A 16,574-nucleotide genomic window follows, 5' to 3' on the forward strand; every position below is an offset into this window, starting at 1 on the left:
CTTCAAGTTTTTGAGGAAAACTCTGGCTCTATAATGACCAATTATTATTTGATGTGACCGATAGCTCCAGAACCTAAACAAATGGAGATGGACAATATCTTTGTATTCAATTCCATGATGGGTAGAACATAAAAAAAATTGCTTTGTTATTAGAGACAACTTTATTACTGTATTATATGCATCAAATAGTATTAGCTTTTTTCTTTCTTGCTCTTTATCCATTTACCTCCATAATCTATAAATCAAAAATGTAAGTATGTTCGTCTTAAAATATATTTAACTTTTATCACACACTAAATATATTTTTTAAAAATTTTATTGTGTGCTCTTTCTCTCTTAAGTTTGTTAGATAACTGAAATGAACTAGTTGTCTTGTCTAGACCATGTGGCATACTACTACAAATATTTTTACCAATGCCTTCAAGACCTAAATCTTCTAGTAATCCTGTCCTGCCGTCTCTACCCTCAACCATAAATCACTTCTATTCTTTCCCTTCTCAAGTACCAAGACCAACATTGAATACTGCTTTGATAATAAATTATTTCACTAGCATATATTCACAGTTTAACTGGCCCACAATCTATTTAAACCAGCTCACTGAGCTATTTATTTTCCTTCCTCTGGATAAAATCTGAAGGAGACACATAACATTCTGGATCACACTCAGATTAAAGAAAAAAATCCCACAGTTTAGAGATTATAGTTCAAGTGTTCTCATCTCAAAAATAAAAAGTATATGAAGTAAGGCATACGTTAATTAGCTCAATGTAGCCATTCCACAATGAACACATATTTCAAAACGTCATTTGTACATGATAAATATACATTACTTTTGTCTGTTTAAAAATAAATGATTTAACTTAAAAAATCACAATCCATCAATTAATATATCCAGTCCTGGGTAACCAAAAAGAAATTAACTTCATTTTGATTAAGCTTCTTTGCTCCCTATACCTTGGACTTGTGGCAGATGGAGCAGAGGTGGGGCAGAGGTGAGATGGAGAAGTCGGTCTCCTTCCTTGTTTCCCTGCTAGTATTTCTGTTCATCCTCCCCTTTCTCACTGAGATCTCTATGAGCCTCCTGGGGTTACAAGTAGGAAGGATCAGAGGATCTGAATCCTCTTATTTTCCTAACACTAATTTGGCACTGGTTTCTAAGGGCTTTGACAGACAATTAAAGAAAGATGATTCTTTCACTCATAGGCCCTTTCATGGGCTCCACAGAGGTGTCCCCATCAGTTCCATTACTGTGGGTGACTGTGTCTCTCCAGCTGGCTGCTTACATTTCTGTCTCATGCTATGGGTATAGAACAGTACAGTTTCATCTTCTTTCCAAATGTCTCCTCACCTTTTGAGATTGGCCTCTTGGACAGCATGTAAGACCATGCCAAGCCAGAACTCCCTCACAAAAATCCTGCATTTAGTCAAATGAAAACACACCCATTTATTCACCCTCTGTGGAAATGCAGTTTCTTTCAAAATGCAGTCCTTTGGGTTCACAATAGACATTTAAATACTTTATCCATCATTTTAATAATAATAATATATTATATTCCGTAAGCTCCAAGGCATAGAAATCAATTTCTCTACATGATCTCTTTGAATTTCCTCAACCTAGACTCACAATGCTGATAAATAACTCTACACTCCTGACACATGGAAGAGAGAACAACCCAGAAAACAACTCACTTCAAGGAAATCTTGATTTTACAGCAAAATAATTTCTGTTCAAATGTATGACTAATTTTCACTTGAAAACAAGGATAGGGACTCAGTTCCTCCAGCATTCAAACCAATGTTCATGTCGACTCTTGTACTGAGTTCTATGCTCAACACTTCTGTTTAATTTGTTTGTTATGACAGAGACTATCATAGAATCAGTATCTGACAAAATGGTGAAATAGGTAAACTTTTCTTCAGTAAATGTTAGATTAAAAAAAATTTTGGTTTGGTGTCCCTACTTGAATGCTGAATTCAAGGCAATATTTTAAAAAAAACAACAACATATTTTCTGTAATTATGAATTCATAGCAGAACATACTACCTAAGTCAATTTAAAAAGAACTTATAGTGGATTTGGGACAAGTAAAAGGCAGCATTAGAACAAACCATGAAACTCTTGAATCCAGTGCTGTGCTCTTTCTGCTAAATACCATGGCTTGGTCTCTGTTCAAAATGAGTTGGTACATATCCTGTAAATGACAGGATAGAGCCTTCTATTCTTTCATCATTACTCTGTCACAGCCTCCAGGCTTGCTTGATTAATAAATGATGTCTACAGCATTTTCTATCCAACAATTCACAGAAAGTGGGGGGTTCACAGAAGGTTGTTCCATAGAACCATCTCCTTAGAGGCTCAAGATACACATAGGATCATATTGGTTATTTGTATAAACTTCTTGTGAAACAAAATTTATTCATTTTGTCATCTGTCCAAAAAGTATTCATTGAGATCTTCCAAGTGCCAGGAGGAAACCATGTAATCTCTCTGACTATAATGACTATAAAACGTTTTCATGATCCCTGTTCTCATGGAGTATTCTATTAGTGAGTCAGGCTCTAAGCAAATGACAAAGTGAATACATAAAATTACATTTCTGTCAGGTCCTATGAAGAAGGAACATTTAGTACTAATGCTGTATGTTTGGGACCTTGAACTAGTTATCGAATTAAGGAACAAGAATTTCCTGAGGAAGTGATGCTGGACCAGAAACACAAAGCAAAATAGTAAGCAGTAACTACATGAAAAGCAGAGGGAAGGGTGTTCCTGCAGCTTCACTGACACTTTTACCAAGGTAATGGGCCTGTGTGCTACAGTAAAAAGGGCGAGGGGCTATCTGGTACCAAATCCAATTGGAAGGGCAACTAAGGGTCAGACCTTGCAGGACATTTCTGACAAAGGTATGGAATTTATTCATAGTAATGGAACATTAAAGTGTTTTTAGTGGGGATGTGACATAATTGGATTTAGGTTATCAAAAGATCATTTAGTTGCTCTATGGAGGGATAAGAGAGGAAGGCCATAGCTGATGAAGATTAAGAGGCTGAATCAAGAGTCCACGCAAATTCTTGCATGCTTCATTGCTGCCTAAAGATAAAACATCTCGTTTTGACTATATTATTTTATTTTTATCTCATTATCTTCAAAAGATTAGTTTGGTCTTTCTAGATATGTCAGAAGAAATACCATGATGACAAAATAATCAGAACATCCATCTTAGGCCAAGACTTAAGAATAATATATTTTCACCTAAATAGTAAAGCAATGCCATTAAATACCTTAGACTTCCCTTGAGGTTAACTAGAAGTTGTGATGGCTTCCGAATGTGGTTGCTTAACATACAGATAATACAGTGAGTAATAAAAACAATGGTGGATTCTCTACTCTTGTTCTAGGAAAAGTATAAAGTTTGTAAGATTTAAAGTCATTTAATTTTTCATATATGTATATGTATACACATTTACATAGCCCAGATGTTAGCAAATTGCATGTTAAGAAGTTTGCAAAGTCAATCTGTTGTAAAACATGAAGAAAACCACAAATTCAGCTAATGGGATCAATAAAGACAATGTGGAATTTTAAGAATGAGGACTAAAACTATTAACCCTTTTGGAATTTGGATTTATTCCAATTTTCAGGAGCAATATTATCAATTCCCTCGTAAGTTCTTAGTGAATTTAAATCTATTAATTAAAAACTATGGCTGTTAAAAATGTTAGTAAACATCATTTTAATTGTTTAAAATATTATAATATAAATCTATCATCAAATAACACCATTTATTATACTTTAAAATAACTGAATTTATGTAAACTTCATAAATAATGCTTTTTTATCTCTTACCTATAGAGCAGGGAGAAACATAACAAAATAAAATAAAGATTAGTTGTATTAAAGTGAAAAGGTTTTTAAAAATAGTTCACTATGATTTCACAAATGTACTTTTTCCTAAAATTAAATTTTTATTTACTTTTAATCTCTGTGACAGTTATTTAGATATTGTAAATGTATGACCTTGTTTTGGCTTTGGGTATGAGACCACACCATTTCATTGAACATAATATAAATTGGAACTTTTCCAAACATGGCTGTTAATAAAAAAATAAACACAGCTTCATAAAACACCCAAATGGTTTTCTGTAACACATCTTTTCCAATACTGATCTCATACTATGCTCTACCTTGCTATTAGTTTCTGCTGAAATAGCTTAGTGTTGGGGGTGGGGTGCAGGAAATAGGCTTGTTTATCATCAAAGAGAAATGAACTGTAAATTGTAGGAGAGAAGTACACTTGGTCGATTCCAGATGCTAAGCATTCAATTCAATTTCAAATTTTATCATGGAACATTTTTTCTACAATTCTCCTTTGCTAAATCTATAATTTCCATCAGCACTCAAGTGAAACTGACATCTATGTGAGGCTTTTTATTTCGTCCCAAGACAGGCATCACTGTTGTGTGCCTAATTAGGCAAACTATTTAAATATTACACTGTCATTAATTAGCCATCTTATTACATATATGGAGCAGTAGTTAATTTTGTGTAACTGCCTCTACTTACATTTAATAGTTCAACTCTTTGCATTCTTGTGTTTAAAGAGAAACCCCTTTCTCATGGAGAAGAAAATTGAGCAACTGGGTAAATAACTGGTAAATAACACTTCAGATTGATAATTTTGTTTTATGTTTGTCACGGTACAACAAATAATACCTTCCCAGCTTATGAAGAAAACAAAAGTGCATTTTCAATGATTCTGAAGGAAATTAAAGATTCTCATATTTTTATTTTTCAGTCAAGCTACCTCAGTTCCTTTCATATTAAAACAGATGAAATTAAAATGAAAAACATGTATAACAGATCAAAGAAAAATATTCAATATTCACTGAGATAAACACCTCTGAGAAGTAAAAAGAGCAAAGTATAATGGCATTTTAGCTTTGAAGGTTTATTTTTGAATGCACAAATATGCTTATTACAAATATCCTACATTAATTTCCATTTACCTTCCAAAGAGACATGTTGAGAAAATGAGAGACAGTTAATGCACTGAAGAAAGTAATTAATAAGTATGTGTTTTTAAACATACAGCTTAAAATACTTCTCAGAATCTCTAAATAAGACAAAAATATAGGCATTCATTCAATAAAACTTAAATTATTTAAAGATTTGGAGAAAAAAATATTTAAATTAAATCAAGTAATAAACATGAAAGAGCAAGAGGGAACAAATTTACATTACTGACTTAAAAATTAAAACTGAGAAAAATATATATAATAACTGTTTTAAAACATTAGACCAGGTCTATGAAGAACTGTGATCTAAGAGAGGAGAAAAACTAAGAAGGAGAGCCCTATTATCACTTGGCTTTCTCTAAGGAGATACATTCCGGACCATAGAATAAGGAGAGGGATTACAAGTAGAGCATAGTGTTTCTTTCAGCTCAGTACATAGAATTCAGGAAGCATGAGCAATGGAATGTTAGTCATAGGGCAAAGTTCTAGAGAGGAGGAAGCTCTGCAGAAGAAAAGGACTCAAAAGATTTACATTAGATTCTCTTCATTAGTGTTTGCTAAATACTAATAAATGCATGCAATTGGATGAAATTTCATGAAGTCACATAAAGAGGAATGTGTAAGATGAATGGTTCCAACAAAGCACACAGGGCTGAGATTTGTTCAGGTACCACTAGCTAGAATATAGAGTCCACTTTGAATGGAGTATTCAGTAGAAATCTCAAAAGGGGTGCACTTCAGTAGAGAGGGTAAACTATGCCTAGAGTTAAGGCCACTTAAAAATGCAATACTTAAAGCTTAAAAACAAATCTCAAAAGACACAAACTGAACCAAAAGTAATTTTAATACATACATACTAGAAGAAAGCTCAAGATTCCTTAAAGATAACTAAATCCAGACACTAAATATCTTAAAATTCACAATGTTCAATATACAGTTAAAAAAAAAAGTACTAGCCATGTCAATAAACATAAAGATGTGACTCATAACCAAGAGAAAAATCATTAGAAACAGACCAAAACATATGGAGATGATGGAATTAGAAAATAAGGACTTTATAGCAGATATAACTATATTCAACTACTTAAAACAAGGGTTAGCACACTATACCCCAGACTAAATCTGGCTTATAGACTTTTTTTTTGTTTTGCCTGTGATCTAGTAATGATTTTTATATTTTTAAAGGATTGTAAAAACAAACGAACCAAAATCAAAGATGAATACATGTTAGAGAATATATAACCACAGCAAAGCCTAAAATATTTACTATTTAGCCCTTTTCAGAAAAACTGAACTCAGTGACCACAGTGAGGAAAGAAAGGGAAGATATGAAAAGATGACCACATGAAACGTTAAGAGACACAAAATATATTACTAGAAATTAAAAAAAAAATACTCAATGGGCCTCATAGAAGAGTAGACAGTACAAAAGAAAACACAGTGGACTTAAACACATGGCAATAGAAACTATTCAGAATGCAGCTAAGAGAAAAGCAAGATTTCTTTTTAAAGAACAGATATCCCCTATAGGAAAATACCAAACAGTTGAATATGTGTTATTGAAGTTCCAAAAAGGTTGTGGAGCAGGGGCAAGCATGGAAAACTATGGAAAGATTAATGGTCAAAGGATTTACAAATTTGATGAAAATATAAAATCCATAGTTACAAAAGGCTTAGAGTTGTTTGCATCTTGATGTGGTAGAGACGACTAGCTGAGATCCGAAATTCATGTTCCACTTCCATTTATGAGGTGTTGCTGGGAGGCAGCTGCCAGCCAGGACAAATATTTTAGTGCTTTTCACATCTAAGTGAGGCCATGTAGCTGAATTCTGATTAATAAGTTGTCAGTGAATTGAGATAGAATTGCAATCTTTGTTATCCACATTCTTTATTCTCTTTCTTTTTTTTTCTGTTTTTGTAAAATAGCTTTATTGAGATATAACTCACATGTGTTCACCCATTGAAAGTGTACAATTCAATGCCTTTTAGTATATTCAGAGTTGTATAACCATCACCACAATGAATTTTAGAACATTTTCATCACCCCAAAATGAAATCTCACACCTTTTAATCGTCCCCTCCAATTCACCTATGCTCCCTTCCCCCTGGGCCTTAGACAACCATGAATCCACCACAGGCTCTATAGATTTGCCTATTCTGAACATCTCCAAACCTGCCAAAGCTATGCCATTAAAAGGCACTACAGCAAAGAGCATCATGCAAGTCGCATCACACTGGGGGCCTGGCACAGAAGTGGTGGTGGTGGCATCAGGCAGGGCCTGATCCATGGGGTCCAGGGTGACCATGTGGGTCATGCAAACGGCATTACACAATATGCCATGCCTGGCTAAGTTTTGTGTAGAAAAGGGGTTTCACCATATTGCCCAGGCTGGTCTTGAACTCCTGTTCTGCCTTGGCCTCCAAAAGTGCTGGGATTACAGGTGCAAGCCATCAGGCCCAGTCCCTTGAATACTGTTATGCAATTGTCCCCCAGTTTCCGCCAGGTATTGGTTCTAGGATCTATTATGATACTAAAATGTGAGTATGCTCATGTACTGTAGTTGACCCTGCAGAACCCATGGAAATGAAAAGTCAGCCCACCCTATACACAGGTTTCACATCCCATACTGTATTTTCCAACCATGTTTCATTGTGGATGTGGAACCCTCTGATAGGGAGGGCTGACTGTATTTATTGAAAAACAAAACAAAACAAGGGTTGTGTTAGTAGACCCATGCAGTTCAAACCCTTGTTGTTCATGGGTCAAGTTTCTATCTGGATGGAGGCTGTGTTCTTGGGCAGCTTCAATGGCTATATGTTTATGATGGCAGAGTCTCTTTTCTACTTCAGTATTTAAAATGTCTGCCTCCCTCTCACTGTAAACTTCATAAAGGCAGGGCTTATGTCCCTTTTTGTTCATATTATATCTGTTACTTAAAACTACTATACCTACATATATAGTAGGGACTCCAAGTGAATTTATTGAATTAAACATGAAATGAACAAATAAATGAATATAAGTATTTAAATTGATCATCAATTTGGATTCTGATCTCTGAGAATCTACAGAATAGAATAAACAGAATTTCAAAGAATACATCACAGTTCAAAAACATAGGAATAGTATGTTAAATGGAGCAAAAAGTCAAAACAAAGTAAAACAATGGGGTGAGTTGCTAAATACATTTTAAGAACAAGATATGAGGCTGGGGATGGTGGCTCACACCTGTAATCCCAGCACTTCGGGAGGCCAAGGCAGGTGGATCACGAGGTCAAGAGATTGAGACCATCCTGGACAACATGGTGAAACCCCATCTCTACTAAAAATATAAAAATTAGCGGGGCGTGGTGGCAGGTGCCTGTAGTCCCAGCTACTCAGGAGGCTGATGCAGGAGAATTGCTTGAACCCGGGAGGTGGAGGTTGCAATGAATCGAGATTGCGCCACTGCATGCCAGCCTAGTGAGAGGACGAGACGCCATCTCAAAAAAAAAAAAAAGGTTATGTATGTTGCAGGTCAAAATAACATAATTGGAAAATCTCTACCTCTGTTCAGCAAGTGGAAATTGTTAATTAATTTATATTCTCCATCCTTAATTTCAAGAAAGGGCAACATAACTATTCGCAGATTCCAGAACTGTGTATGTAGGACATTTTTTTAAAGTCATTGATAAAATACCAAACTTAATGAGTGAATTTAGCAGTACAACTAAATAGAAGGAAATATACAAAAACATATCAGAGACAAACAATTAGACTGACATTTTTAAAATACCATTTTTAATATAATAAAATTTCATATACCTAGGAATGAAGGCACTAAGACATGAAAAAGCTGGGTAAAGCTCTACTCAAAATATTTTAAAGCATTCTTGAGAGAAAATACAAAAGACCTATGTAAACAAATGAATATGCTGTCTCCCAAATTAATCTATGGCTTTAGAATAGTCACAATCAAAATACTGGCAAATGTGCATGTGTAAATTGACAAGCTGATTTTTTAATTTCCTGGAAATGCAAAGAGCTAAGTCTAACTCAAACAATCATAAAGAAGAATATACAGCTGAAAAACAACCAGATTTCAGACTTATTATACAGCTGCCATAATCAAAACAATGGAGAATTAAAAACAAGTATAGAAGAGTTAACCAATGGAACATAATGAAGAGTTCAGATAAAGACTCACACATATTCATGACAACAGCAACGCTTGATTTATGACAACAGCAACACTGTAGAACGGTGAGGATAAAACATCTTTTCCAATTCTGGCCCTGAAAAATTAATGTCTTTCTCTCATTCAAAATACATTCATACCATTCCAATAGCTCTAATAGTCTTAGCTAATTCTAGTATCAAGTCGGAAGTCTAAAGTCAAGAGTCCTATTTCGATATCATCTAAATCAGCCATGGATGAGACTCAAGGTATCATTTGTGCAGAGGCAAATTGCCCTCTGACTGTGAACCTCTGAAATCAAAAATGATATCTGCTTCTAAAATACAATGGTCAGACAGACATAGGATAGACATTCCCATTCCAATAGGGAGAAACAGGAAAGAAGAAAGGGGTAACAAGTAAGACTGAAATCTAACAAGGCAAACAATATTATGTCTTATAGCTCAAGAATAATATTCTTTGGCTCAATGTTTACCCTCCAGGGACTGAGATTGGGTTCCTAAGGCTTCAAGCAGCCTTGCTCCCGTGACAGTTCTGTGTTGTGGCCCTATCTTCAAATCGGCTCTGTGCCTGGAGCTCTCCAAAGCTGAAATCACATACCCAACAGTCTACTGGTCTGGATTCTCTGGGGTGGTCCTGCTCCCATGGCTCCACTGGACACTGACTTAGTGGAAACTCTTCATGGTGGCTTCACTTCCAGGGCAGTTTTCTTTCTGAGTTCCACAGCTTTCTTTACAGGGCATCCTTTGCAATCTAAATGAAGGCAGCCATGACCCCATAACTTTGCTAGACATAGCCCATGTCGTTCTAGGACCCACCAAAGCTACACCAGGAGTGGCTGAGAAGCACGGAAACAGAGTGCAGGCAGCAAGAGCTGAGTTTCCATAAGTATCCCCAGTCCCTTCTTTGAAATTGTTCTCCTCCCCAGGCTCTTGTAGCCTGGCCTTATGATGGGAATGGCAGCCCCATGATCTCCAAATTGCCTTTGACATCATTCTTCCACTTTCTCAATTAATAGCACCAGGCTGATCCATATTAATCTCTTTATCAAAGGGTCACCTGACCACACCCTTCCTGTTCTCTCCTGTACACATCTTCATTTTTTATAATATGGACAGTTATACAATTTTCTAAATCCTTAAGTTCCACTTCCCTTTATTAAAAATTCCATCTTTCTATCATTTCTTTCTTTTCCTATTTTATTATAAGCTTCAAGAGAAGCAAAGTCACACTTTCAACACCTTCAACACTTTGCTTAGAAATTTCTCCATGCAAATATCCTACATCATTAACCAGAACTTCTATCTTTCATAAAACACTAGGACATGAACAATATGCAGCCAAGGTATTTGCCACTTTATAACAAGGATCACCTTTTCTCTAGTTTCTAATAACATGTTCCTAATGTCCATCTGAGACCTCATCAGAATCGCTTTTACCATCCATATTTCTACATTTTTTTAATGACTAAGTTTTTACCTAAGAAGATTGAGGCTTTCTCTACATCTCCCCTCTTCTCTTTCTGAACCCTCACCAAGATTGCCCTTAATGAATGGATATTCACAGTAATGCAGGCTTTTTCAGCATGTACCTCAAAACCCTTCCAGCCTCTATTTGTTACCTAGTTCTGAAGATGCTTCCACATGTTTAGGTATTGTTGCAGTAGCATCCTTACTTCTTGGTACCAGTTTTCTGTTTTAGTCTATTCAAGCTATTATTTCTTACAGATCTGGAGGCTGGGAAATCCAAGATGAAGGCACTGGCAGATTCAGTAACTGGTGAGGACCCACTTTGTGGTTCAGAGATGGTGCCTTCTTGCTGTGTACTTATGTGGTAGAAGGGTTGAATGAGCTCCTGTGGGCCTATTTTATAAGGGCACTATTCCCATTCATGAGAGTTCTGCCCTCAAGACCTAATCACCTCCCAAAAAGTCCAACCTCCTAATATCATCACTATGGAGAGAGGATTTCAATGTATGAATTTTGGGGGAACATAAATTTAGACCACAGCATGGGACAAGGGAAAAAGACAGGATTGAAGTCATGGTCTTTGTCATTCCCAGGTCAGAAGTTTTCAAAGAATTTTTAAATTAAATATTGTTTTAATCAACAAATCATGATTATATATATATTTATGGGGTACAGCGTGATGTTTTATAATATGTTTACTATGTGGGATAATTAAATCAAGCCAATTAACCTATCCATCACTTCTATTATTTATCATTTTTGGAGATGAGACATTTGAAATTTACTATGACTTATTTTGAAATATACATTGTTATTGCCTGTAGACTCCCTGCTGTGCAATAGATCTTAAAACTTATTCTAGTTTATCTGAAACTTTTTACCTTTTAGCCAGTGACTATTCACTTTCCCCCTCCGCCCCCACAATCCACCAATCTTATTCACATTTCCCCAGTTTTGCTTGTATTTATTTACTGTGTGTTTAGTTCTATGCAAGTTTATCGCATGTGTCGATTTGAGCGTCTACCATTGCAGTCAATATACAGAACGGGCCCATCACTACAAGAATTCCTAGCGTTGCTCCTTTTATTTATGTATTTATTTATTTATTTTTTGAGAGGGAGTCTCGCTTTGTCGCTCAGGCTGGAGTACAGAGGTGTGATCTCAGCTCACTGCAGCCTCTGCTTCCGAGTTCAAGTGATTCCCCTGCCTCAGCTTGCTGAGTAGCTGAGTTTACAGGCGCCTGCCACCATGCCTGGCTAATTTTTGTATTTTAGTATAGACAGGGTTTCACCATGTTTGTCAGGCTGGTCTCGAACTCCTGACCTCTAAACGATCTGCCCGCCTCAGCCTCCCAAAGTGCTGGGATTACAGGCAGGAGCCACTGCGCCTGGCTGTGTTGCTCTTTTTAAAGTACACTGACTTCCCTTCTTCTTCTTCTTACTCCCTAATCCCTGGCAATCATTTACTTATCTGCCTTTCATTTTCAAGATTTTCATTTCAAAATGTCTTATAAAATGAAATGATACAGTATATAATCTTTTGGGGTTTACATTTTTTCGCTCAGCTGGAGATCTCTCCAAGTTATTGCATATTTCAATAGTTTATACCATTTTATTGCTGAGTAATATTCCATGGTATGTATGTGATTACAGTTTTTGAGAATGCATCTTTTAAAATGAGGTTGGATACCAAGAATTGACTACAAATTACCCTAGGATAAGAGCTTGCCAGTTCAATGACTTTGGTCTGCAACCAGACCTCTCAGAATGCAATGATATACACAACTGACCCAATAAAACATATATATATATATATATATATATATATATATATATATATATATATATATATATATATATATGTATATACACACACACACACACACGTACACACACACACACACACACACACACACTTGTGAGTGTCCTCAGCAAGAGTTGCTCTTTATTTTGTGTTGCAACTCCAGTTGCAATTGTCCTGAGTTCCTAGAAAGCCCAGTTCTTGGACTGAGAAGTAGTCATGAGACCGAAGTCACTGCAGAAAATTGAAGCTTATTTCAATGGCTGGATAACAGTAAAAGGAGAGTTCTCATGTCCAAATGTCAGAACCTCCCAAATAGTGCTAATCACAGTTCTCACTTCACTGAAGATTGAACTTTGTTCCAAGAGTGTTTAAGTGACTTGCCTAAGGTAAACCAGCTGGGATTTTTTGTTTAGTTTTGTTTTGTTTCTGAGCCAATGCTAAAAACAGTCCTCTGACCACCTCAATAAATGGCTTAGTTTTATATTTTGTTTTGCAAGTGGAGTACTGGCCTTTTAACATGATCAAAACTGCATAACTAACTTTTGTGCACAGTGCAATCCCATAACATGGGGGCCTTCCCTTAAAAGAACACAAAAAGGCCTATTTATCCCCGCAATGCCACAGCTGACTGTGCCACCTTTGAAATTTAACTTTGCCTTATTTTTTGGCCTTCTTGATATCTCCTCCCAGGAGTTCCCACTGCACTATGTGCTCCTTGGAGCCAGAGATGCTGGCCACAGTGCACTAAGTGGAGAAACCTCAGACTTTGAAGTCTGCAAGTTTCCTAGACTAAGAATTATGAATATTTTGTTTTAGTTTTATTTATAGATACAGGGATGCATGCTATGTATATAGTTTTTAATCATAATCCAATCATCCATAGTCATATTAGGAGCAGTAATTTAAACTGCTGACCTCAGTGCAATTGCTGAAATTTGCAAATAAAATTAAATACAGCAATGAACATAGTAATGTTGCATCTCTTTCCTCTGAGGAAATGAATAAATTTCTATTCCACATTTAATGATTACATCTGAGGCAGGCACAGTAGAAAAAAAGATAGAAAATAGCTATGTGTCATGTACCATACTAAGCAACAAATAATGTTTTTAAAGGCTAGGTTTAGATGTGATTTAAGTCACATTTTCATACTTCCTATAGGACAGCCTTTAGCTTCAGGGCACCATCTTAACTGTGTTGCTGGCTGGGACATTCAGTCTTGCCAAGGAAATAGAGAAATAATCACATACTGTTGTTTCTGTCTCACAATACTTGCAATCAGTCATGAAAGTAAAAGTTCTCTATGTTTCAATAAATTTTCCTTTTTACTTGTCCTAAGTAACTGCTTCAAGCTGCTAGAGTTTCTGAGAGTCTTCTCTACAAATGCGAATCAATAACCCCTCAAACTAAAATTCATGAAATCAATTCTTTGAAATGAACACAATTTTTGGAAAAGATAATTTCTACCCAAACTAGTTAAGATGCTTTTTGAATATTAAATATTCTCCACAGGCAGTTGAATGGTTAAGAGTATTGAGCCGACTGACATAAATTGCAGAATCATCATATACATGGAGGACAATTGAAATCAATAAAGTAGACATCATCTTCTACTAAACAGTATATAGTATGAACAGTGGAAACCTGGGAAACCATAATATTAAATTAATTGGTAGAGAAACAGGAGGCAATGAGGTAGATAGAGAAGTGGCTAGACAGGTACAATAATAATCAAATTATTTCACAAGAAAGACAAAAAAAGATATCTAAAGAATGAGTTAATAACAATGTCAAATGTCATGGAGAGACTCTACTTTAAAAATGTGAACAATTATGTGTCTATTAGGAAGCCACTGCTGAACTTAGGAAAAGGGTTTCAATAGAACGTGTGAAAAGAAGCGAGACCAGTCAATTGAGAAATAAATGGCAGAAAAATGAATAGAAATGTTAAACAAAGACAAATTTTCTGAGGAATTTGAAAAGGGAAGAGGGAAAATTTACTGTTAGGAAGAGATAATAGAATAAAGCAATAAAAATTTAGTGTGTCTTGCTATTGAGAATAGTATGTGTTGGCTTCATTTGTGTTTGGACCTTGGAAAGATATTGGAGAGATATCTATCAGCTGAAGGGATCCCAGGTGCAGAAAGACCCTGACCTAGGCAAAAGATAAAGAAGACCACAGTGTATAGATTAGCTATTATGCATGGGTTAGTACAGTAATTTTTTATTCTTATCATGCATTAGCATCACCTGGAGGACTTTTAAAAAGCATCCTACTGTAGACCCCATTATTAACCAATAATATTTTTACAAAAAGTAGGAATTTTAGGGTTGGAGATGAATTATAGGTATTTTTAAATGTTCTCTAGGTGTTTCTGATGGCAGCCTAGTTTGAAACAGAGGTAGATAGAACATTGGAAATTTTGAGAAAAATCATACCCTAATCATCCTCACTTTCATAAATGAAGTAATATTAAAGTTTGCAAAAAGCATCAAGTGGATTGGGAAATCAAGGAGAGCGTGAAGGTTAAAAATGAAAGTAGGCACAAATAAAGACAGAGCTTTCATAAAATATAAAGGGCTGAGATGATGCCTACTTTCGTTACTTAAACCATAGTCCTTGCACCCTTCCCTGTACCTACAGAATCAGAAACTCTGGAGATGAGGTCCAGCAATGGACGTTTTAACAAGCCTTCCAGGTGAATCTCATCCTTGCTAACCTTTGAGATACACTGACCTAGGAAAATTCTGAATGCTTAAATAATGGTCAGATTCTAATCAGCATCTCAGGGAATTCAGAAAGAGGAGGAATAGATCTGACCAGTCCCTTGAAGATCTGTGAGACATCTCACACTACATTAGCTGACTAGGAGAATATATAATTTTGAGGTGTTCTCCTTTTTATTTGATAATGTTTTAAATTAAATACAATATAGGTGCTGAAAACTTCTAAGTGAATAGCTTGATGAATTTTCACAAAATGAGCACAGCTTTGTTGCTAACACCCAAATCAAGAAGAGAACATTAGCCTAATGGTAGAAATCTCCCAAATACTCCCTCTCAGTCCTTGCTATTTCCATCCTGAAGATAAACACATTTCTACGTTATAGCATAATAGATTATTTTTGCATGTTTTGAACTTTATAAAATGGAAGCTGAAAGTATGTCCTCTTGAGTCTGGCTTCTTTCAATCCGCTATTCTTTGTGGCATTCATCCATATTTTTGCATGTAATTATAGTTTATTAATTTTCACTGTTTGACAGTGGTACGTGTCACTAATTTAACTGTATTATCTCTAGTGAAACTTTGTGTTATTTTGAGATATGGTTATTATGTCTATAATGTCTTTTGCTACAGATGTGAGTAAATGTCTAATAATGTGCTATGATTAAAATGCTTGTGTCCCATCAAAATTAATATGTTTAAATCTTATCTTCTGAGGCAATTGCTTAGGACAGGGGGCCCTTTTGTAGGTGATTAGGTCCTGAGGACACAGCTCTCATAATGGGATTAGTGCCTAGAAAATATAGGTCCAAAGGTGCTTATTCTCCCCTTCCTCTATGTGAGGACACAGCAAGAAGGCATCATCTATGAATCTGAAAGTAGTCCTTCACCAGACACTGTATCTGCCCACAGCTTGATCTTGGACTTCCCTGTATCCAGGACAGTGAGAATGAAATTTATGTGGCTTATAAGGTACCCTGTTTATGGTATTTCTTATATCAGGATTAATACACTAAAAAAACATAATTTATTTCTACAGGGAAGCTGATATGATTTGGCTGTGTCCCCACTCCAATCTCATCTTGAATTGTAGTTCCCATAATCACCACATGTCATGAGAAGGACCTGGTAGGAGGTAATTGAATCATAGGGGCAGTTTCTCCACGCTATTCTTGTGATAGTAAGTTCTCACAAGATCTTATGGTTATATAAGGAGTTTATGCCTTCGCTCGATTCTCATTCTTCTCCTTTCTTCCGCCATGTGAAGAAGGATGTGCTTGCTTTTCCTTCCAGCATGATTGTAAGTATCCTGAGGCCTCCTCAGCCCTTCTTAACTGTGAGTAAATTAAACCTCTTTCCTTTGTTAATTACTCAGTCTCAGTATGTCT

The 16,574-nt window shown here is 35.8% G+C and overlaps 1 protein-coding gene across 9 annotated transcripts in view; it reads right to left on the minus strand.

The window, feature by feature from the left end:
• The window catches only part of CSMD3 (CUB and Sushi multiple domains 3), a 1,214,012-nt gene that overhangs the window by 877,002 nt on the left and 320,436 nt on the right, over window positions 1-16,574 (minus strand). The gene's annotated exons all lie outside the window — the stretch shown is intronic.

Source organism: Homo sapiens, chromosome 8, assembly GCF_000001405.40.
Source record: "Homo sapiens chromosome 8, GRCh38.p14 Primary Assembly".
In the NCBI taxonomy this organism is placed as follows: domain Eukaryota; kingdom Metazoa; phylum Chordata; class Mammalia; order Primates; family Hominidae; genus Homo; species Homo sapiens.